Here is a 26,213-nt window from a genome sequence, read left to right on the forward strand (position 1 = left end):
CCCTTTCACACTGCTCCCTCTCTTTTCTTTTTTTGACAAAGTCTCCAGGCTGGAGTGCAGTGGATGCGATCTCAGCTCACTGCAACCTCCGCATTCCGGGTTCAAGTGATCCTCCTGTCTCGGCCTCCTGAGTATCTGGGATTACAAGAACACACCACTATGCCTTAGTGAGGCTGGTCTTGAACTCCTGTCCCTCAAGTGATCCGCTCCCTCGGCCTCCGAAAGGGCTGGGATTACAGAAGTGAGCCACCGCACCCGGCCACAAACAGGTTTCTATGTCCTTTGATAAGTTCCCAACAGTTTTTGTGCACTTCACTTTCTCACAAAAGATATTTCAGTCCCATTTTATACTATTCCTACCCTAAACCTAGAATCACCATTGCTTCATGAAGCTACAGTACATCAGTGAAAAATGGTATATAGAAACCAAGATCTGGATTTCGGGCAATGAATAACCTCATTGCTACTGTGTCTGGCATTGGTTCCTGCCAGTCTACTGTGTCCAGAATTGGCTCCTTCCAGTGGGTTCCTGCTCTGACTTCAAGAATGAAGCCGCGGATACTCACGGTGAGCATTACAGTTCTTAAAGATGGTGTGTCTGGACTTTGTTCCTTCTGCTGTTCAGATGCGTCCAGAGTTTCTTCCTTCCGGTGGGTTCGTGGTCTCACTTGACTTCAGGAGTGAGGTCGTAAACCTTTGCAGTGAGTGTTACAACTCCTAAGGGTGGCGTGCCTGCAGTTGCTTCTTCCTTCTGGTGGGTTCGTGGTCTCGCTGACTTAAGGACTGAAGCTGCAGACCATCGTAGTGAGCATTACAATGCTTAAAAGTAGTGCAGACCCAAAAACTGAAAAGTGGTAAGGTTTTATTGTGAAAAGGGAAAGAACAAAGATCCCACAGCACAAAAATCAATGCTAGCAGGTTGTCACTGCTGACTGGGGCGGGGGTGGTAGCCAGCTTTTATTCCCTTATTCAGCCCCGCCCACATCCTGCTGATTGGCCCATTTTACAGAGTGCTGATTGGTCCATCTTTACAGAGTGCCGCTTGGTGTGTTTACAAACCTTTAGCTAGACACAGAGTGCTGATTGGTGCATTTTTACAGAGTGCTGATTGGTGCATTTACAAATCTTCAGCTAGACACAGAGTGCTGATTGGTGCATTTACAAATCTTCAGCTAGACACAGTGCTGATTGGTGTGTTTACAATCCTTTAGCTAGACAGAAAAGTTCTCCATGTCCCCACCCTAACCGGAAGCCCAGCCAGCTTCACCTCTCACTACTAGGACATATTATTGCCTCTAGGCTCCTTCAGTGTACAAGAGCTAGAATATATGAATATGTTATATATATAATATATTATATATAATACGTATTATATATTATCCTATATATCATATATTATATATTATATATAATACATATTACATATTATCCTATATATTATATATTATATACGGAGGATTTTATATTATATATATGTGTATTATATATAACATATATAATATATTATATACTATATATTATGTACATAATATATATTATATACAGATATAAAATCCTCCATATACATATATAATATATATATGGAGGATTTTATAAGATACTTTCTGTTCAAAAACAACTCCACAGAATTCTTTTACATTTTTCACCGTTGCACATTTGTTTTTTTTCTTTTCACCCACAGTGAAAACTCTGGCTCCCAACAGCATAAATAAATTCACTCAAACAAAATAGTTTCTTATAAACAAAATAGTTTCAAGATTATAATACCAATACATCACTAGCAATAACATATCTACTATGTAGAATTCAAAATTTCTTTGCTTGTTTTGTTTTTGAATTATATCCCATTAAGGGAGTATAGCTGTATAAATACCTTATTTGAATTAATTATTTTCTCTGTGGTTATATTTTAAACGATATATGGTTAGGAGCATTTGTTTCTGTTTATATTCCATTTCAGGGTTTGCTTTCATCCCTTTTTAATTTTTTTGACAATTCAAAACATTTACTTAGTTCAAAATCCACACTATATAAAAAGGTATGTTTAGAGGAGTTCTGCTTCCATCCCCAGTCCCTTTACCACATATACTCATACCCAATTTTCATTATTTATTTATCCTCTCCTTCCTTCCTTCTTCATTCCCTCCTCCCTTCCCTACTTTTTCTCTTTTTTCTTGCAAAAATGAGTATTTATCTTCTGTACCCCATAAGTTATGTTATATACATTCTTTCATGCCTTGCTTTATCATCTAACAGAAAAGCCTAGAAATGTCCTGTTTTTGAAGTAGTCCTCTTTTTTCACACCTGCATAATAACTCATTCTGTGGATGTACCATAATTTTTTTAACCAGTTTCTTGGGGGTGGGTATTTGGATTACTTCCAATATTTTGCTTTAACAAATAATGCTGCAATGAACAATAAGAGAGAGACTTTTGTAGAGGTTGTGTTATTTTGTACTCTCAACAGCAAAGTGTGAGAGTGCCTGTCTTCACACAGCCTCATGATCTGTATGTTTTCAGGCTTTTACATATTGCCAGTATGATAGGTCCTTTGATATTTCTTAAGGAATCACAAACGCAATGCTGAAATCCCTGCTAGAAATGGATTCACAGTGCCAAATTTCAGCAAGGATTATGGAACAATGGGAATTTTCACATATTTTTCATGAGAGTGTACATTGGTGAAACCATTTTGGGGAAACTCTGGCATATCTACTAAAGTTGAATGTATGCGTATTCTGTGACCCAGCCACCAGAAACGCATATGTGCTTGCATCTAAAGACATGTCTTAGAAGCATTTTTTGGTGATTGCTTTAAACTGGAAACAACCCTAATGTCCATTAACAGTAGGATGGGTTTTAAAAAAAAGTTTATTCAGACAACTGAATACTATGTAACAACGAAAATGAATGAACTACAGCTACAAACCACGTTGATAAATTTCACAAACATAATAGTAAAAGGAGCCAGAATAGTGAGTAAAAGAAGACAAAAAACACGACATTTGACCTCTCGTCCCTGAGAGGCGGGTGGTTGTTAGTTCAGGGGGTTATGGGAGGGCTCTGGCATCCGGGATGGAGGCGCGTCGCTTTCTGTGGCTGGCGCTGGATCCACCCTGGGTCTCCAGCCACGGCTGCAGAGAGGGTAGCGCGGTTTCTTAGGCCAGAGTGGAGTGGGACAGGAGGTGCCCAGAGACGACTGTGGTGGCTTGAGACATGGAAGCGCTGCAGCCTTTGAGCCCAGTATCCAGCATTGCAGCCGCCGCGGCGGTCTAAGAGCTCAAACCCTTTCAGGCGCGCGCAGGAGGAGGAGCGGCGGGGGCGGCGGAACAAGACGACCCTCACTTAACGTGGCCGCTGTCGCCGTGGGCATGCTGGGGGCGTCCTACGCTGCCGTTCCCCTTTATCGGCTCTATTGCCAGACTACTGGACTTGGAGGATCAGCAGTTTCAGGTCATGCCTCAGACCAGATTGAAAACATGGTGCCTGTTAAGGATCGAATCATTAAAATTAACTTTGATGCAGATGTGCATGCAAGTCTTCAGTGGAACTTTAGACTTCAGCAAACAGAAATATATGTGGTGCCAGGAGACACTGCACTGGGGTTTTACAGAGCTAAGAATCCTGCTGACAAACCACTAATTGGAATTTCTACATACAATGTTGTTCCATTTGAAGCTGGACAGTATTTCAATAAAATACAGTGCTTCTGTTTTGAAGAACAAAGGCTTAATCCCCAAGAGGAAGTAGATATGCCAGTGTTTTTCTACATTGATCCTGAATTTGCTAAAGACCCAAGAATGATTAATGTTGATCTTATCACTCTTTCTTACACTTTTTTTGAAGCAAAGGAAGGGCACAATTTGCCAGTTCCAGGATATAACTGAAGTCAGCAACTAAGTCTTCCTTCAAAGTTGTGATTTTTGGGAAAATCATGTATCCTATCTTCTCAAAGGAGAAATATTGTACAATAATATGAAGACTTATATTTTAAATAATTATTTTTTCTCAACTAATTTATTTCACTTAAAATTGAGAGAACAAGTTCAGCTTTTATCATAACAAACCCACATGCCTAGCTAGAATATATGAGTGACTATTCAATACCATACTGAAGAGTTTGATAGCATTAAAATAAGCCGCTTTGTTTTTTAAATATGCAGGCATGGGTTCAGCTTAATTCTATAATTCCCTTCCAGATTATTAACTCTTCATACTTATAGCAAAGAATCTGACAATGTTTTTCAAAAATGAATGCTCAGGGTTATTTGTTTCAAGTCATAGGCCAGAACTTCTGACCATGTTTATTATGTCTAAAAGAGTTGGTTGCTATTTTCCTTCATTATAAACAGTCAGTATTTTAAAAGCTCAAAGTAGAAGAGGAGTCACCAAGCCCTAACAGCTTGTCCAAAGATTTAAATTCTTATTTCAAATTTGATTTGTCCTTTAAGATTTAGGGCTATTTTATATTCAGAGTTCTGAATAATTACTTTGAAATTGTAGTATCATGAAATTGAAATAAAATACATCTACTAGGCTGCTAGCCAAAGCATCATCATTACAAGTCCATGAATGCTAAAATGTACAAGTGGGATTGTGAAGATTTACTGACATCAAAAGTTCTTCTGGAAACAAACCTTTGTAAAAAAAAAAGTGTAAATTATTTTAATAGTGATTTATTTGTCATCAAATGTACAACTTATTCTGAATATTTTCATTTTCTGTGTTCCAAACAGAAATGTTAAGTTGCAGTAAAAAGAGAAAAAAAGACTATTTAGAATTACAAAGAATCATATTTAAAGGCTGCCCAATGTAGAGTCTAGTGACCTGTTCAGGACACCTGAAATATAATTAAATGACAACATCAAGGTTTTAACAATTTATAATTCCAAACCAGAGGATTATAAAGAAGTGCAAATTGACTTTTACATTCAACTTTAGTTAAATGAAGGCACTCAATATTCTTCCTGAATAATACATTCAGTTTCTCACATTTTATGTTTTCATCTGTTCCAATTATTTTGTAGTAAAATAATCTACTCTTATCACAGCTGTGTGACGATTTCTAAATGTAGGAAGGCCTGTGAAACATATGACACTGCAGTTAAATTTGTTGGCCTAAGGACTAAGTAATTTTTCTTCTGCTGAAGTTTTAAGTGAGTATTTGTTCCAAACAAGTTCTGTTGAAATCTCACGCTGTTGTCAGGAATCAATGTTATCCTGGAACTGTTATTCTTCTATTTAATCTTCATCATAGCAGAAATGCTCCACTGTGGCTTTGACATGTTGGTAGGTATTGTCTTCCAGGCTTCAAAGCTGCACAGAGTCTACCCTTTAGAGAATTGGCACCTTTGATGTGGCTAGTGAGCTGATCATCTACTTTCTTCTAAAATAAAGAGAAGAAAATGAAAAAAAAAAAAAAAGATGAAAAACACACCCTTCATGATTTCATTTCTATAAGGTTCAGAACAGAATAAACCAATATCTGATGTTAGAAGTCACAACAGGGAGAAGGAAAGGAACAAAGTTTAGCAGGGAGCACAACTGGGCCTTGTGGGGCACAGGTAACGGTTCTATTTCTTGACCTTGGTAGTGGTTATATGAATGGTTTTACTTTGCAGTATTTCATTTCACTGTGCACATATTGCTATGTATTTCTAAGTATATGCATATTTCAATAATTTTTTTAAAAATATGCAAACTACTCATTTTAAAGCTGAAAGAACCAGAGCTCAGATACATGAAGTGTGTTGCTGAGCTCAACAGACCCAGGACTCATATCCAGTTTTCCTGATCCGCTAGCTCCCTTGGCTTTGAGGGGTTAGTTAACTAGGTACCCTTACATGTGGATCTTTTTTTTTTTTTTTTTTTTTTCTGAGATGGAGTCTTGCTCTTGTTGCCCAGGCTGGAGCGCAATGGCATAATCTCAACTCGCCGCAACCTCCACCTCCCAGGTTCAAGCGATTCTCCTGCCTCAGCCTCCCGATAGCTAGGATTACAGGCGCCCACCACCATGCCTGGCGAATTTTTGTGTTTTTATTAGAGACGAGGTTTCGCCATGTTAGCCAGGCTGGTTTCGAACTCCTGACCTCGGGTGATCCACCCACCTTGGCCTCCCAAAGTGTTGGGATTACAGGTGTGAGCCACCGCACCTGGCCATATTTTCTTTATACCTCTAGAATCCTACTAGAAAGTGTTGTGAGTCATCTGGAATGATTATTAAGCATTATTTAAAATGGCCCCAACGTGTTTATTTTAATAGCTAATTTATTAACAGTCATACTATTCCAGTTTGTATCATCATGAACAAGTTAGCAATATACACTTTTTTTTTTTTGAGATGGAGTCTCGCTCTGTCACCCAGGCTGGAGTGCAGTGGTGCAAGCTCCGCCTCCCGGGTTCACGCCATTCTCCTGCCTCAACCTCCCAAGTAGCTGGGACTACAGGCACCTGCCACCGCACCCGGCTAATTTTTTGTATTTTTAGTAGAGACTAAAATACAAAATAGTTTCACCATGTTAGCCAGGATGGTCTCCATCTCCTAACCTCGTTATCCAGCAATATACATTCTTATGCACGCCTGTTTTGCACAGACAATTTTATTTATAGGACATAGGTTCTCATAAATAGTATTGATAGATGGAAAAACATATGTATTTTTAGCAATAGATGCTGTTAGTTTGCTTTCCAAAAGGCTGTAACCACCTCACACTTCAAAGAGCAACAAGTGTTACAACTTTTCTAAATTTTTGGTCAGTTTACTGGTATCTCATTTTATTTGTGGATGTGTCTCAAATTCACATCTCCAGATTTGATTTGAATCCATGATTGAATGTCATGATTGTTTTTCCTTCTATGTTTAAGTGCCTTAAAGGCATCTCAAACAAAACATGTTCAAAGCCAAACTTGTAATCTCTGCACCCAAATCTGATCTTCTTCCAACATCCCTTTTGTTCACTTGTCCAAATCAGAAACTTGGGCATTTCTGTTTTTTAACCCTCACATAAAATCCATCAAACTCCTATCAAATTTATCTTCAAAATATTTATGTACTTATTTATTTTATTGATGCATAATATTTGTACGTATTTATGGGGTACAGGTGATATTTTGTTGCATGCATAGAATGTGTAATGCTCAAGTCAGGGTATTTAGGATATCCATCACTACAAGCATTTATCACTTCTATCTGTTGAGAACATTTCAAGTCCTCACTTCTAGCTATTTTAAAATGTATGATAAATCGTTAACTATAGTCACCCTACTCAACTAACATTAGAATTTATTCCTTTAATGTAACCGTATGTTTGTATCCATTAACCAACCTCTCTTCACCCCCACACCTACATCCTTCCCAGCCTCTAATAACTATCATTCTACTGTCTGCCTTCATTAGATCAACTTTTTTAGTTCCCGCATGTGAGTATATGTGATACTTGTCTTTCTGTGTCTGGCTTATTTCACGTAGCATAATAATCTCCAGTTCTATTCACGTTGCTGCAAATGATATGATTTTCTTCTTTTTTAATGGTGGAATAATATTTCATTACTTAAATGTACCACATTTTCTTTATCCATTCATCCACTGATGGACATGTACATTGATCTGGTATCTTTGCTATTGTGAATAATACTGCAATAAACATGGGGGTCCATGGACCTCTTTGATATATTGATTTCCTTTCCTTTTGATAAATACCAGGAGTGGGATTGTTGGATTGATAGTTCTATTTTTAGTTTGTGAGAAACTCCATAGTGTTTTCCATAATGGCTATACAATTTACACTCCCACCAACAGTGTATGAAAGTTCCCCTTTCTCTGCATCCTCATTAGCATGTTTTTTTTTCATCTTTTGATAATAGCCATTCTAACTGGAATCATATGATACCTCATTGTAGTTTGATTTGCATTTCCCTGATGATTAGTAATGTTGAGGTGGTGCATGCCTGCAGTCCCAGCTACTCAGGAGGCTGAGATGGGAGGATCGCTTGAGGCCAGGAAGTAGAGGCCTCAGTGAGCTGTGATTGTGCCACTGCACTCCACTCCAGCTGAGCAACAGAATAAGACCCTGTCTGAAAAAGTAAAGAAAAGAAAGAGAGAAAGACAAAAAAGAAATGGCAACCATCATCCCAGAATTTGATGGCTTTCATTTTTGTGCATTTTAGATTGTGCATCTATCTATAACTTTAAAAATATCCGTAAGTGGTGTGTGTGTGTGTGTGTCTATATATATATATATTTTAAAACTATTTCTTTACTAATCTGTTTTGCTTAACGCTTTACATGTTTTGTGTTTTGTTTTGTTTTGTTTGAGAAGGAGTCTCGCTGTGTCACCCAGGCTGGAGTGCAGTGGCGCAATCTTGGCTCACTGTGACCCCCGCCTCCTGGGTTCAAGCGATTCTACTGCCTCAGCCTCCTGAGTAGCTGGGATTACAGGCATGTGCCACCATGCCCAGCTAATTTTTGTATTTCAGTAGAGACGGGGGTTTCACCATTTTGGTCAGGCTGGTCTCGAACTCCTTCCTGGCTTTGTGATCTGCCCACCTTGGCCTCCCAAAGTGCTGGGATTATAGGCGTGAGCCACCACGCCTGGTCGTTTTCACTACTGTACACTATTCCAGATTATAAATGTACCCCAATTTACTCATCATTCTCCTATTGGTGTGAATTAAATTGTTTACAAACAATGTTGTCATGAACATTCTTGTACATCTTCTTTTGTGCATGTGTGAGGACATCACTAGTGCATTTAGCTTTTTTAAAATGACATTTACCCAATAGTGAAATTGCTGAAGGGGATATGTTTCTCTTTATTGTATTGGATGTTGTGAATATTTGACATATTTGTGGCTACCCAGAATACTTGGAGCACCCTTCCTATAGCTATGACTTTCCCCCATTATAACTTCTACCTTTTTAAGGTAGGTGCTAGAAAAACCCATTTTTTAACTTCTTCTGCAGGTAGTGAGCAGGCATGTAACATAGGTTTTGCCAATAAGATGCATTCATGAAAAACTTCAATTTAGAAGAGAGCACTGTGAGGAAGGGGATGCTATGCCGAATTCTGTAAATGAGGTAGCAGTGTGGTCATGTTAAGAACTTTTAGAAGCAAAAGTGACCAAGATCCATGCTGTAGTGTCCTGTGTTTCGTGTTCATATTGAAAGTGATGATAATTATCCACTGTTGTGGGATTGCTTGTATGAGCAGTCTGGGAGTGAAATTTGGGCATTTTTTTTCCTGACTGCATAATTCTAGTGTTTCTCTGGCCTTTCAGGAGACTCTAAGTCAACTGATATTCTTAATAAATTCTTATACTATTTCATCTGTAGAGTGGATTCTGATGCTTGCAACTAAGAATTCTAACAGAAACAGTTATTCTCAACCCTTCTTCTCTCATGGTACATAAGTAAGTGACAATTGTATAACAAACTGGAAGTGATGTATAAAGCTGCTTGTGGCTAGAAGCAACCAGAACTATAGTTATTAATTTCCTATGGTCTTGCCTGGCCTCTGTAAGGAGATCCGTATCTCAACAGCACACCTGTCACACATTCATAGCCCAACTATGTGCCACAGTGGGCTAGCTGGAAATCTGTGCACTAGATATTGCTAACTTATTCTCAGTTTATACTCCTTCTAATAGTGTGTGAGAGTTCTTGCTGGTCAACGTCCTCTTTGACCTTTTTTTTTTTTTTTTTGAGACAGAGTCTGGCTCTGTCGCCTATGGAGTACAGTGGCTTCTTCGACTTTTGATATCCCTGGACTTTAAAACTTATTCCGGTTTTATTGGTATAATTTTATATATGATTTTTAAAATTTGCATTTTTCTATTACTAGTGAGAATCTTCTAATTTGTATTTCCTTATTCGTTAATTACTGGTTTCATATCATTTTATGCTTTCCTCTTTGACTGCTGGTCTTTTTATTACTGATTTATAAAAAGCTCTTTACACGTCTTTGATATTTAGGATTCTTCACTTGCCTGGGTTGCTTTGAAGGCTGCAAGAGCATTTGTAGTAATTATACATTCATAATTTTGTATTCTACTTTTGAAAAGGGTCCCCCAGATTATACAGGATTCAGGTTCTACAAAACCTGGATCCATCTCTGACATCCCAATTGGAGGCCTATCTCTCTGTTTTGCTTATTGGTGTCTTCTGAGGCACAGAAGATTTTATGGTTAATTTAGTTAAATTTATTTTTATTTTTATATGGATTGTACTATTTGGATATTGTTTAAGAAAAATTTTTCTAACCCTATAAGATTAAAATATGATCTTATATTTTTTTCAAATGATATAAAATTTTGTTTTTATAAAGTAATATTTTACATTTAGGATACATTTTGGAGGGGTATGATATGAGTCAGTGATTCCATTTTATTTGTATTTTTCTGCATGAATACTCAATTGTCTCACACTTGTTATTGAATAATTCATTTTTCTTCACTAATCCTCAGGCCCATTTATTTATGAATAAAAGTATTTTTTTCTCTTGGTTTTTTGTTCTGTTCTGTTTGTCTAGTTGTCCATCTATGACTACAGTTGAACAAGGGTATATCAAGAGGCAACTAAGTGAACCATCTGAGCTTCATATGTATTCCACCCTGATCTCACTATGTAAAAACAGCTCTACCTTCTCTTCTCTTCTCTTCTCTTCTCTTCTCTTCTCTTCTGATCCCTGGACACAAAGATCTCAAAATGCCTAGGTGGCAGTTGTAGCTTTTACTTCAATGGGCTTCTTGCTATATCCCCTGGCAAGAGTGGACTGTCTTTGAGACTAGGAGTCTAATTTTGCCAAGCTCAGAATTGTGGGAATGGGAAATACAAATCCCCAAGTGGTCTACTGGAAGTAATGATTAATGGGGCCACTCCTGCTTCCATGTTTTGGTTCCTGGACTCACGTTTTCTTCCTTTTGGAGACACAGCACCATTTAGGAGCTCTAATTCAGTAGTACATACATTGCATCCTGGAGAATGCCGTATTACCTCTGAGCTGGTGCTGCAGCTGTGCCTTCAGCAAGCCAGTTCAACTCTCTGTCAGATCAGGTGCTTCTAGATAATGTGGTTTGGAATAGGACCAGTGAGTCCCATCATTATGGGCTTACTGGAAGCGGGTCTCCTCACCAGTTTGTATGGTCACACACTAGCTTTTGTGAGATTCCATGCATATGAACCCAAATATCCCTATATAGTGGTCTTGACTGGGGCTATATGAACAAGAATGTTAAACCCATACCAAGAATAGCTAAGACATTGAAAGTCTTAGCATTGGTATCTATTGCTGGAACTTTGGACCTTTACAGGCAGCATCTGTTATTTCTGCTTTAGTAAATGGGAGTTTATTCTATTGCACTCTTGTGTAGTCTTTATCTCTGCCACCTTGGCCACTCCATTCACATGCTCATTGTGCTAGTTATGTGTCTGCTGGTTGTTATGATAATTGCAGTCCCTTGGTTGCTGGTGTTTAAGCTCTACCTTCTTACTTCACGTCCCCATTGCCAGCCAATGGGGAGCTCTAGAATAAAGGTTTCTCACTAGAGAAGTCCCAGGTATGCGAGAAATTGGCAGGCCCTGGTATCTTCACCATCTTCAATCTTTGGTTTGGAGCTCCCCAGCATGAAGTTGGCCTCAGATAGAATGCTGTAGCAGATCTCAAAGGTTGTTACAGTTAGAGACTGTTAGGTGACAGACTCTAACTAAAGGAAGATCTGAGCTATACACCTCTACAGGGGCAACTGAATTGTGATTGTTGACTGCAGCAGTGAATTGGCCAGACCAATTAGCCAAGCAGTGCTGGACAGGTGCAGGCAGACCTTATGGTCTATGATTATAGTGTACCTTGGAGGCTTACAGACAGCCACATAGCAGTCTAAGGCCACGATGCCAAGAAGGACACATTCAATACAGGCTAGCCAGTGAAATACATAGGCCTGGGCCATACAGCCTATTTAAGTGATGTTCTTGTTGGGCCCCCTAAATTGAACAGCATTTGAGGTACTGTTGTGGTGGTGAAACAGAGATATAAGACGGAAAGACTGGTGAGAAGGAAATACATAGGACTATGAAGTTGGGAATCTAGTTGAGAGACCAGAATAATAGCACTATTTCCCAACAATGTGAACATGTAGAAGGTCAAGAGGACACAGAAGAGAAGAAAATCCAGCCATGGATATTTGACAAAGCCCATGAGAATGAAATCCTCTGGGAAACTTTCATTCAAGTACTTCACTGAATCTCAGTGACACCAACCTGCTAAAATCAGGTAAGATAAGAGTGATTTTTAAAATGTTCTGAGTTGGTAGAAGTTCTGAAGACAGAACTTTTTCTAGGAAAAAATAGTTTTAGTAGGGAGAGATGGGACACACCCTAAATAGAAATCATAACAATAATAATGAATAATGAATCAGTGAATGAATGAATGAATATAATAATTACTATAATTAACATTATGAAGTAATATTTGAAAAGCTCTTTCAGTAAAGAAAGTGGTTTCACATTTTTCCCCCAACTCAAAACCATGTGTGATAGGTTAGTAGACTTTAGTTGTTATGGCTTTTATGTCTGACTAAGGAAACCAGTGGAAGGTGGGCTGCATATTCTCCCAGATGCCTGGCAGCAAAGGGAGTATGTCACCTCAGTTTGGTTAATCACATGATTCTACCCCTGACTTGAGTCTGGGTAGAAATTATGCAAAAGAATGAAGAAGGAGAAAGGGATTGTCAAAAGTACAGAGAAGCTGCCTTCCTGGATTGATGTCCCATAATGACAACTTCAAACGATGTGTCCTATATGCTTTCTTCCAGGGGTGGCATCTTGGTTGTTTTGCTTCTCCTCATTTCTGCCTTTTGTGTGTGTGCCAAGTTTTATTCTTTACCCTTCTTATTGATTCTATGAACTACTACTCTTCTAATATTTTCTTTTTGCTTATCTTTTTGTTATCAGACTTGCTTTTCTTGTTTACAACTGACTGATACAGAAAATGGCACCAGATAATAAATTGAAAATATTCTGCAGGTCTCTTCTAAGTCAGAGCACTGATGATAAAGAGTAGGACCCAAGAATTAGAATGAGGGTATATGGTACATACACAGTGTTCATGATACCCCACCCCCACCTTCCTATTCTAGACAAGATGGTCTTCCTCTTTTGTCTGATAAAGTTGCCTTGCTTGAAAATCCCATACCATCAAGAGAATGAAAAGAAAATCCATAGACTGAAAGAAAAAGTATTTGCGGAAGACATATTTGATAAAAGACTGTTAAAAATACATCAAAAACGCCAAAAAAAATCAATGATAAGTGAAACAGACAACCCAACTAAAACATGGGCCAAGGTTTTAACAGACAGCTCACCAAAAAAAATATACAGATGGCAAATAAGCATATAAAAAGATGTTCCACATCGTATGTCATCAGGGACATGCAAATTGAAAGAATGAGATACCACTACACACCTAAAATGTTTGAAATTCAGAACACTGATGACACCAAATACCAGTTCAGGTGTGGAGCACCAGGAATTCTCATTCATTGCTGGTAGAGAATGCAAGATGATACAGTCACTTGGAAGACACTTTGGTGATTTCTCACAAAACTAAACATAATCTTACCATATGACCTAGAAGTTGCAGTCTTTGGTATTTATTCAAAGGAGTTAAAACCTTACGTCCACACAAAAATGTGCACACAGATGTTTATAGCTGCTTTATTCATAATTGCCAAAACTTGGAAGCAACCAAGATATCCTTCAGTAGGTAAATAGATAACTATGGAACACCCAGACAATGAGATATTATTCAATGCTAAAGATAAATGAACTATGAAGTCATAAAAAGACATGCAGGAAACTTAAATGCATATTGCTAAGTGAAAGAAGACAATAAGAAAAGGTTACGTACCATATGATTTCAACTATATGACATTCTGGAAAAGGCAAAACTACACAGACAATAAAAAGATCAGTGGTCACCAGGGATTAAGGGGGAGGGAGGAATAAACAGGTGGAGCACAGAGGATTTTTAGAAGGCACCGAAACTACTCTGTAAGATACTATAACGGTGAACACATGTCATTATAACTTTGTACAAACTCATAAAATGTGTAACACCAAGAGTGAATCCCAATGTGAACTATGGACTTTGGTTAATAATGATGTGTCAATGTGGGTTCATCAGTTGTAGCCAATGAACTACCCTAGTGGGGATGTTGATAATGAGGAAGACTATGCATTTGTGGGGGCAGAGGGTTATGAACCTAAAATTGCTCTAAAAAATGAAATATTTACAAAATGCTGTACCTCCTTACTGAGACGGACACAGGGTAAAAGGAAGCCAAGTCTCCTCATGGCCCTCTCCATACCTATCAAGTAAACAGGGTTAGATCCCAGCAGGCTCTTCCAAGGCTAATTAAAAGACAATGCTGAGCAAAAGGATAATACATAAGAAACATTGTAGGAGTTTGCTAGTTTGGAGCAGAGATTTGGAGATTAGATGTGAGAATGAATTCTGAGAGTGCTTTACCAAAGAAAGTACATATTTATTTATCATAATGATTACCTCTACCAGACAGACTTGTTTCAGTCTGCTGGCTGGATCTGTAAGTGTGATTTTAATTTCTTTCTCTGCTGGGTGACTAAAATCTGGTTTTAAAGTGATCCACCTAAACAATGTTGATTTATGAGAATTCCCTTAGTGTGTGGTCTATGAACCCTGAAGGGATTGTGGGTGTATGTAACACATGAGTTAAGTCAATAAATAAGAACAGACTGGTTATGAAGACAAGATCATTATTGCACATGGCTCAGTTGGTTTCAAAGGGAAAGGACCATATCTACAATCAGACTACACCCTTATTCTAAGCTATTTTAAATGAGTGACATCATGTGATGATGGGTCAGCACAAAGTAACCCCTCTCCTTAAAAAGCAACTCAAAGTACAAGAAACCTTGACTTTTATCAATTCTATCTTTATAGTATATGAAGGAGAATGTTTTGTATGAAATGTGAGTAATAGTGATACATGCTTGTGTCACGTAAAACAAGAGATAGGCATCTAATTCATGATTAACTAAATTTTTTTTTCAGAGACAAGTTCTCACTATGTTGCCCAGGCTGGTCTCAAATTCCTGGACTCAAGTAATCCTCCTCCCACCTTGGCCTCCCAAAGTGCTGGGATTACAGGTGTAAGCCACTGCACCCAGTGAAGTTAACTACATTTATGTGCAAGTATAATTAGAAAGAATTCTTGAAATGAATACACTGAGAGAGGTTTCTGCTTGATCTAGATTTGCGTCTCTTCTTATCTTGCACTTGTACTTGAAGCTGGAGCAGTTTTCTTTATAGAAATCACATACTCCTTACCCAGCTGGTCTGCCTTTCATCCAGCTCCAAGCCAATAATTACATTATTTATGCCACTTTGGATAACTATGCCAAACCCAAGAAATTCTTCTGATTAATTCTATGCAAATCTGCTTATTCTTTTATTTTTTCTTGTTTTATCCACCTATGAACCAATGTATCTACTCTTTATTATGTTAGTTTGTTCTTACTGGGTTTTGGATTATGCATTTAATTAGGCCATTTTATCTTTGTGTTGTAATTGTTTAATGTAAATGTTCAAAATATATATTCATGCCTTGCATCTTCATAGATATTGATTCTGTAAGTCATTGGTGGACCCAGGAATTTGTATTTTCAACCATTACTTCAGATGATGCAAGTGGTCTTTGGACCATGCTTTAGAAATATTTATACTTTAGGAAATTATTTATTCGATAAGAATTATTTGAGCACCTATTAAGGATTATTCGCTATTCTAGGTGCTAGGGGTACACAATTGGAAAAAATAGATATTGCCCTTCCAGATCTTACAGTGCAGTTGGAGGGAACAGACGCCAGACACATAGATAAATAACTAATGGGTCATGTAGTGATAAGTACTAGAGAGAATAATAACTCAGCACAAAGGGATATAAGGCATGCTAAAAGGATTTTTATTATATAAAGAAGTTGACGAAGTCCTCACTGATAAAGTGACATTTTGAGTAAAGACCTGAATAAAGAGAAGGAAGGAGATGTGAAATTTGGGGAAAGAGCATTCAGGTAGAAGGTACAGCATAAATCTTGAAACAGAGGTGTACTGGGTGTGACTGAGTAGAAGCAAAAATATACTGCAATAAGAGCTCAGTAATTGTGGACTGCTTGTCAGAAAAAGTAAAATTTTAGCTGTCTGTTTAGAGAGGAAAATGAGAATAGAAAGAATGGATAAAAGGTCATAGGTAATTTTATATTTCTTCTAAATCATAAGCCTTACTCACCAAGAGTAAGTTCATGTCTCCAAATCCAGTTTTCAGATGGTGCAGGTATCCCTCAAGATCACCCTTTGAATGGGAGAGCTAAATTTGCCCTGCATCTCCTCTGCCGCCCACTCAGAAGGAATTAATTCTGAGCATTTTGTATCTAAAGGGCAAAGTAGTAACTGCAAGAAATGATATGAAATACATGGCTCCTCCATTTAAAGACCTTATAAACTAATTTTAGAGACAAATATTTCATAAGATGAAATACATTCAAAAGAAAATTATCATACTTACAATTCCCAAAACATAGAATGTAGTCTTAATGTTTAAGTTCAGAGAATATATTAGTTGATTATTCAGTCATTTATTTATACATTCACTCATTAAATTAATATTACTTATGTGCCTACCAAGCATGGGGCACCATATTATGCAGTGTGGGATAGGAAAAACCAACCATACCCACCCTCTGTTCCAAGAAATCTATACACCAGGACCTTTCTACATGTGCATAAATAACTAACAACAACCAAGAATGTGCTAAGTGTCATCCTCGATGACAAGGACAGTTTGAAAATGAAATAAATTACTTGTAAGTAGGAATCCAGCCGATGGTGGGATCATGAATGTGAATGCTATTTGTTTTTTTTTTTCAGATAGTGTCTTGCTCTGTCTCCAGGCTGGAGTGCAGTGGCGCGATCTCAGCTCACTGCAACATCTGCCTCCCGGGTTCAAGTGATTCTTCTGCCTCAGCCTCCCAAGTAGCTGGGACTACAGGTGCTCGCCACCATGCTCGACTAATTTTTGTATTTTTAATAGAGACGGGGTTTCCCCATGTTGGCCAGGATGGTCTCGATCGCTTGACCTCGTGATCTGCCCGTCTCGGCCTCCCAAAGTGCTGGGATTACAGGCGTGAGCCACCGTGACCGGCCTGTGAGTGCTATTTAACTAGATCTTGAAGATACAGATTCCAGGCTAAACATGGCATATATAACATATGCATTTGTCTATACCTACTAAAATGGGGGTAAAAGAATAAAAAAGTGTAAACTCCTAAAAAGAGGATGAGAAAGGAGATCACAGCAGAAACACAATGTCAACAACTTTGTAGAAGCTGATAATTAGGTGGTTTAGTGGTAATTGTCTTAGAAGACCTGAGAAAGCAGAAAACTTACTCAGCAATGCTGGGAGTCAACAAGCAAATAGATTCATATGGGAGAAACCCATAAAGGCATAAGAATTGGAGGAACCAGATCACTGAAGGTGAGGGGTGTGGCATGGACTTGAAAGCAAAAGCATTGTCTGAGAGACTGTATTAAAAACAGCTAGAGCCCTGGATGCCCAACTTCTTCAATGATAGCAAATACCTGTTTCTCCCCTACCCTGGCACAAGGCAGCAGGTTTGCTCCTTTGTAAGGGTGAACTAAAGGCACCCTAGGCTTGGGGACACCAGCAAACCTGAGAACAGGAGTAACGGAGCCGAATTAAAATGGGGCAACTAAATTACAGTCTGCCTGCTGACTTATGAGACCCCCAACTCTTAACCCCTTTCAATAACCAGAACATTGGTAGTCATGCCTATACAGTCTAAATAAGAATTTTGAGGATTTATCATTTGAGAAACAGTTCTGGAAACACCTACATTTTCAAATGAAGATTTTAAAATGAAAATCTGCATCTGCACTTGATCACCCAACAGCAAAACCCACACATCGCCAAGCTCCACATATTAACACAGAGCTGTCAATTAGCATGGTAGCGTCTCACTCTTAAGTAGGAATGGACCAGGATAACTGAATGTCCTAGGAAAGCTTCTGATTAGAGATACAAAAATAAATACATAATTAAAAAAATAAACAGAATGAAAACAGTGTAGGGAGGAGAGGTTCTCAGATAACATATAAAAGATATTGACACCTTGAAACATGAACAGGATTACTGGAAAAGGGAGGGTACAAAGTACATGAAATAGCAGTTGAAACTTAAGAATATGGTATAAATTAAAAAATTTAAAAGGCTGAAAGGTTGTGGAAATTTTTCAGAAAGTAGAACAAAAATATATAGAAATGAATAAAAATATATTAAAAAGGATTATGTACATGACTTGTCAGAGTTTAGGGGAATTAATTAATAACACATCTGCCTTCTCTTCCTGAATTTAGAACAAAATGAAAAATGGACATTGATGCCAGAAAGACTTAGGTCAAAATGTTCACCTTGTTGTTAGTGCTGTTTGAAGATCATGGTTTTAGTTATGCAATCAAATCATCTTGCTTTTTCTGCATCCCTGAGAGGATGTACCTGTCAGTCATTGACTCAATTGGACAGCCACCCACTCAACACATGCACACACACACACACCCACACACACACACACACACAGAAAATGGATCTGTGCGTAGGTCGGGGTATGGAGAAGCAGAGCAGAATGAATCTTGAAGACAGACTGGATTCAACCAGACAGAAGGGAAGTGGCTGAGTCAAACATGCTTAGTTGCATCTGTCAGATTTACCAATCTGATAAATTCCTCTTCCTTTCTCAAAACTGAATGACAGAGTTGAGAAAAACTAGAAACATTGTTCCCAGACATTTCCTCCCTGGTGAATGTAATAAAAATGCTTGTACTCTGTGAAAAATGCACATTAGAGAATCAGTGTTCCCTCCTCCCTCATCAAAGTTCAAATCTGAATAGTGGAGTTCTACCAAGAAAGAATTTTAAAGATAGGGCAGGAAATTAGCAAAGAAATTCACAGTAAAAAAATATTCCCAAACTAAGGACAAACTAAGGACCTGGTGAGTGGCCAGGTATTCAGCACAATGAAAGGCAAAAGACTAACGTCTAGTTGTGTTATTCTTGAATTTTCAGACTAATCAGGATAAGATCCCAAAGACTTCCAGAAGGGGTGTGTGTGTGTGTGTGTGTGTGTGTGTGTAAATTAAAATTATATTGGACTAGCAGCAACACTAGATGTTAAAAGGTAAGGGGTAATGATTGAAAAATTCTGAAGAAAAATAATTTCCAACCTAGAATTCTATCTGCAAAAAATCAATCAAATTAGAATAAGACATTTTTGGGTAGTTTTTATTTTCCAGAAACAGCTTCTTAGGAAGCTATTAGAGACACCAGCTTGGGGACACCAGCTGGGTAGCTGGACAAATTGACATAGAGGTGTCTGGAAGAAGCGGGAATCCAGCCTATGATAAATAAATCCTCAAGCTAATCCTCATATGCCAAGCTTAGAATTTATCACTTTTTAGGAGGTCTTTCTTGATTAAATTGTCTATTTCAATCAATCTTCACATATAGGCTCCTTTCTGTTTATTGCATTTCTAATCTCCCAGCATCTCAGATTAAAGCTTCGATTACTTTTAACTCCTTCATCTGTCTTATACCCATGACTTGTCCTTGATTTCCACTGCCACAATCCTCTCTCCAGTAGCCTTCCAGATGACCCCTCAACTTCCAACTCTTCTAATCTTTAACCCCTCATTATCCTGCCATAATATTTTTATTATGAATCTCTTTGCTAATTTTCTGCCCTATTTTTTTTATTCTTTCTTGCTGGAACTCCACTATTCAGAGGTTATGTGTCACCAAAATAAGGGATTAAGTAGAAAAAGAGGAAAACATACAAGAAACAGAAAACCCACACAAGAGGATGACAGGAACTTCCAAGGCAATGGTGAAGGCAGGGCTCTGGATACTGCTAGAAAACAACCAGGATTGAACAGGCACCAGGAGCCATGTCTCCAAGAAAAGAGTAAGAATGAAATTGGTAACATCTGTCACACTTAGTATGACACAACTCACTGAGAGGAGATTTTTAGGTAACTATAGGTCATTACATGATTCCACCATGGCTAATGTTTATGCATTTTGAAAGTGTAGGGCCGGGCACAGTGGCTCACACCTATAATCCGAGCATTTTGGGAGGCCAAGGCAGAAAGATCACTTGAGTCCAGGAGTTTGAGACCTGCCTGGGCAACATAGCAAGACGTCATCTCTACAAGAAATACAAAAAATTAGCCGGCTGAGGTGGCATCTGCCTATAGTCCCAGCTACTCTGGCGACTGAAGTGGGAGGATCACCTGAACCTGGGAGGTCGAGGCTGCAGTGAGCTGTGATCACACCACTGCATACCAGCCTAGGCAACAGAATGAGACACTATCTCAACAACAACAACAAAAAAAGTGTAAACCTTGAATGCTGATCTAGCCCAAAGTGTGATATGTGAGTATCTGAAAGGTGAGGCATACGTTTTTCTCTTTTGCTCACTTGCTTGCTCTCTGTTATTAAGGGTTAAAAAGATCTTATTTTCTTATGATAAGTAAGAAATAATATTTAAAACTGAAAAATTCAAATAGAGTAAAGCTCATTATTAGAAAAATGGGCAAATAGGTCAGGCATGGTGGCTCATGCCTGTAATCCCAGCATTTTGGGAGGCCAAGGTGCCGGATCACTTGAGGTCAGGAGTTTAAGACCAGCCTGGGCAACATGGCAAAACTCCATCTCTACAAAAAATACAAAAAAAAAAAAAAAAAAAGAAAGAAAAATAGCTGGGCGTGGTGGCGGGCGCCTGTAATCTCACCTACTTGGGAGGCTGAGGTGGGAGAATCGCTTTAACTGGGGAGGTGGAGTTTGCAGTGAGTTGAGATGGTGCCACTGTATTCCAGCCTGGGCGACAGAGTGAGACTCTGTCTTTAAAAAAAAAAAGAAAAGAAAAGAAAATAAAAGAAAAAGAAAAAAAAACAATGAAAAATGGGCAAATAGAAGAAAACATTGAAATATTAAGAGCCTGTTGCTTCAGGAGAACAGGAATTGAGGGTGAGGAGTGATGAGGAAGACAACTGCTATTTCACATTGCAAACTCATAGTATTATTTTACTTTTTAACCTTGAACATATATGTATTTAATAAAAATAAAAAATAAAGAATAGAAGGTATCTTAATATTTATAAATGATTATGAAGAACATTAGAGGGATATGCATTGTTTGAAAGGTGAAAAACACACATCATTGATTATTGCAGCACAGCATGCATAAAGTGGTGTAATGGCAAATCAGGCTGTAAAAGTAACTTGGATTCAGGATATGGAAATCTTAAATACTAGGTTAAGAAGTCTGATCAAACAAAGATTTTTTAGGAGGGATGTGCAATGATTGGAGCAGCACTTTAGAACATTTCTTATGGCGACAAAATGGGGAATTAAAAAAGAGCCTGGTACTTGCAGATGTTTTCTTGTGGAAAAATAAATAAATAAATAAATAAAAGCCACGAAGTTAGGAGGTCATCTGGAAGTCTGGAAGGCTACTGGAGAGAGGCTGAGAGGATCAGCTGTTTAGTGACAGTGGAAATCAAGAACAAGGCATGGGTATAAAAGGAAAGAGTTAAAAGAAACTGAAGCTTTCATCTGAGATGCTGGGAGATTAGAAATGCAATTAACAGAAAGGGGCCCCTATGTGTGGACTGATTGAAATAGATGATTTAATTAAGAAAGACCTCCTAAACATGGTAAATTTTAAGCTTGGCTTGTAAGGATTAGCTTGAGGATTTATTCATCCTAGGCTGGATTCCTGCCTCTTCCAGTCACCTCTAGGTCAATTTGACCAGCCACTCATCTGCAAAATGTCATACAACTACCTGAATTCATGGCTAGGAATGGTTTGTTGCCGCTGGTGAATGACCAAGGGCAGGGACCAGGACAAATATAGAGGCAGAGGCAGTGGCAAAGGAATATGCCTCCACAAACAGAGAAGACAATAAGCTACATTTGACAGAAAGTAAATGCATTAACATATAGAATGGCAGAGGAGAAAAGCAAAACAAGATCCTTCCCGCTCAAAAATATTCTCCATATTTTGCTTATTATTCATTGTTTATATTGTTTGATTCTCAGATTGACCTTCAGAGTGTTGGCTTTTAGAGAATTGATGTTTAGTGACTTGACTTGCTCTCTCATGCCTTCCTTTTTCCTAGACAACTGGATCTTTTGGACATAACTTGGGATTGAGATGAACAAGTGACAGTCATTGATTTGGCATAATGCTTCACTGAGGCATCTTACCTTTGCTGATTTTATCCAGCATTCAGAACCTTCATTTTCTCTCTCAAAATAAAATAAAATAAAATAAAACTAAATCCAAGGCTATTTAGGCTGGTGTGAGTAGAAAGAGACATCACTAGAGCATACCTCTTCCATTTGAGCTTGTATTAAGCAGGCATTGTCGGCTATTGAAGTCTAGATAGGAGAAAAGTCTCAGGAGAAAGTCCTGAGAGATGGGAGCAGGTACGATCAGGCCAAGGCTTAAATAAGAGCCACAAAAGGTCTTAATACAGCAGGTAGGGTGAATGTAATTCTGAAGGCAGAGAACATTCTCTCACTCCAAGTCTGATTAAAGGCAGTTAAAACCAGTTCTTACCCAGTATATAAGTGATCCCTTAGAGACTGTCACTGTGAGTGAATCTCCCTGGAGAAACATTTAACCCAGTCTTGAATTTACCATTTTGGTTATGATTATAGATTGCATCAGTTTTTCCACTCATTAATCTCATCTTAATAGCAAGGGAAGGCAGATTTGCCCCATCAATTTTCAGAAAGCAAATAAATATTGTGTTAATAATAATAATGATAATAATAGCTTAATATATCCTAGACACTTTACATGAATTATGTAATGCTTTCTAACAACTCCTTGAGGTGGACACTATTAATTGTCTTTTTCATTGAGGTATTTGAAACTTAAAGAAGGTAAGTAATTTGTCCAAGGTTTGCAAGGCTCACACATTTCCAGAATTCAAACACTGAGTGCTTTGCACACGTTATGAGTAAACAATTGTTTTTCTTATGTCTATAGTATTTGGGGTATGTGCTTATTTGGTCTTTTCAATCATATTAAAAGCTTCTTGAGGACAAGATTCATGTTCTTTTGGTCAGGTGCAATGGCTCATGCCTGTAATCCCAGAACTTTGGGAAGCCACAGCAGGTGGATCACTTGAGATCAGGAATTTGAGACCAGCCTGGCCAACATAGTGAACTCCATCTCTACTAAAAATACAAAAAAATTAACTGGGCGTGGTGTTATTTGCCTGTAGTCCCAGATACTTGGGAGGCTGAGGCAGAAGAATAGCTTGAACCCGGGAGGCGGAGGTTGCAGTGAGCTGAGATCACGTCACTCCAGCCTGGGCGACAGAACAAGACTGTCTCCAAAAAAAAAAAAAAAAAGATTCATGATCTTTTTCAACTGGCTTATGCACAATGCCAATCAAATTAAGGTCCTACTTTTATTTCTTAAGCAGGCTGGTTTAATTTTAACTCATTCCATCACATGAAGAATATCTCAAAGTGAATCACTCCTTTGGACAAGGTAGAACAGAAGCAATTTAAACAGTGCTTTAAAGGCCAAATCCTTGTTTAATTGACAATACTTTTACCTCAACATTTTTCATCCACAAAGCTCCCTTTCTAAGTTGCCCTTCAGAAGCTGTTAGATGCTGTCACTAAGTTGTTCAGAGCTATGTCACACAGTTCCCCCTTCTTCCTACTTGTAAATCTAAACAATCAAGATGAACGGAGTATGAATCCAAAACAGAAGCAGATATACACAGCCCAAGAGATAGACAAGATGCATATACAGCTTGTTCGTATGGCCTGTTCATTCTTCATGGAGAACCTCCTACATAGATATCTAACATTTTATTTTCTATTTAACTTCTCCAATACTAAAATGGCTAAATAGCTGTTTATTAGGCTGCTAACTTCTCCTCACAGAAAATGGAAAGTTAACTCAGGTTTCCTAACCCACAGGGCTAAGGTTTGAGAGCAGTCTAAATAGCTTAATTTTGTTTAGCTGTGTGGCCAGAAACTTCACTCTTGACTCTAGTAAAATAGCAGGCTTTATACGGGTGGCTCACACTTGTAATCCCAGCACTTTGGGAAGTCGAGGTGGGAGTTTGAGACCAACGTTGACAACATAGCAAAACCCCATCTCTAAACGCAATTAAAAAATACACTAAACATAAAAGTCACAAATTCTGACTGGTGAAATACAGAGCGCTACGGAAGCAGTCATATTTCAGAAAAAAACCTATAACATGCCAGGGCTTTCCATGTTCTGGGAATACAATAAACAAAAACAAGTTCCTATCCTCAGAGGTATTTTGCTGAGAGTTGTTTTCCTGGGAAAAATATCATTTATCTAATACTAAAGAATATGAACGAAGTACATAACAGCAGAGCATATGTGAAGGTATGAGGTGGAATGCTATTGGGTCTGGAATTTTAAGAGTTCTTGGTCTCACTGACTTCAAGAAGGAAGCCACAGACCCTCATGGTGAGTGTTACACCTCCTAAGGTGGCACATCTGGAGTTTGTTCCTTCTTATACTCAAATGTGTCCAGAGTTTCTTTCTGGTGGGTTTGTGGTCTTGCTGGTTCAGGAGTGAAGCTGCAGACCTTCGCGGTGAGTGTTACAGCTCTTAAGGCTGCGCATTGGGCGTTGTTTGTTCCTCCTGGTGGGCTCGTGGTCTCACTGGCTTCAGGAGTGAACTTGCAGACCTTCCCCGTGAGTGTTACAGCTCATAAAGATAGTGTGGACTCAAGAAACGAACAACAAGATTTATCGCAAAAAACAAAACAACAAGACTCCCACGTAGCGGAAGGAGACCTGAGCGGGTTGCCACTGTTGGCTCGGGCAGCCTGCTTTTATTGTCTTATCTGGCTCCACCCACATCCTGCTGATTGGTAGAGCCGAGTGGTCTGTTTTGACAGGGCGCTGATTGGTGCGTTTACAATCCCTGAGCTAGACACAAAGGTTCTCCATGTCCCCACTTAGATTAGCTAGATACAGAGTATTCACACAAAGGTTCTCCAAGGCCCCACCAGAGTAGCTAGATACAGAGTGTCGATTGGTGCATTCACAAACCCTGAGCTAGACACAGGGTGCTGATTGGTGTGTTTACAAACCTTGAGCTAGATACAGAGTGCCGATTGGTGTATTTACAATCCCTGAGCTAGACATAAAGGTTCTCCACGTCCCCACCAGACTCAGGAGTCCAACTGGCTTCACCCAGTGGATCCCGCACTGGGGCTGCAGGTGGAGTTGCCTGCCAGTCCCGCGCCATGCGCTCGCACTTCTCAGCCTTTGGGTGATGGATGGGACTGGGCGCCGTGGAGCAGCGGGCGGCGCTCGTCGGGGAGGCTCGGGCTGCACAGGAGCCCACGGAGGCGGGGGAAGGCTCAGGCATGGCGGGCTGCAGTCCCGAGGCCTGTCCCGCGGGAAGGCAGCTAAGGCCCGGCGAGAAATCGAGCGCAGCACCGGTGAGCTGGCACTGCTGGGGAACCCAGTACACCCTCCGCAGCCGCTGGCCCGGGTGCTAAGTCCCTCATTGTCCGGGGCCGGCAGGGCCGGCCGGTTGCTCCGAGTGCGGGGCCCGCCAAGCCCACGTCTCCCCGGAACTCCAGCTGGCCCGCAAGCGCCGCACGCAGCCCCGGTTCCCGCTCACGCCTCTCCCTCCACACCTCCCTGCAAGCTGAGGGAGTGGGCTCCGGCCTTGGCCAGCCCCGAAAGGGGCTCCCACAGTGCAGCGGTGGGCTGAAGGGCTCGTCAAGTGCCGCCAAAGTGGGAGCCCAGGCAGAGGCGGCGCCGAGAGCGAGCGAGGGCTCTGAGGACTGCCAGCACGCTGTCACCTCTCACTATATCTGGTTGAAGTGACTGCTATGAGCTTGTGAGCTCGTTTCAGAGACTTGACTGGATCAAGCAGGAGAGGAGCTCAGAATAAGTGATTTGAAGAGGAAACACTATAGACACTAACTCTGGAAGACAAGCAGATTTCTTCTGTGATACTTGGAATGAGTGATATGATTGTCCACATTAAAACAGTAGAAAATAATCCTGCCTTTTAAAAACATA

The 26,213-nt window shown here is 39.3% G+C and overlaps 2 pseudogenes; one reads left to right on the forward strand and one right to left on the reverse strand.

Annotated features, from left to right (window-relative positions):
• Positions 3,000–3,710, forward strand: COX11P1 (COX11 pseudogene 1; annotated as a pseudogene).
• OR2E1P (olfactory receptor family 2 subfamily E member 1 pseudogene) lies at positions 11,610–12,237 on the reverse strand (annotated as a pseudogene).

This window comes from Homo sapiens, chromosome 6, assembly GCF_000001405.40.
Source record: "Homo sapiens chromosome 6, GRCh38.p14 Primary Assembly".
In the NCBI taxonomy this organism is placed as follows: Eukaryota; Metazoa; Chordata; class Mammalia; order Primates; family Hominidae; genus Homo; species Homo sapiens.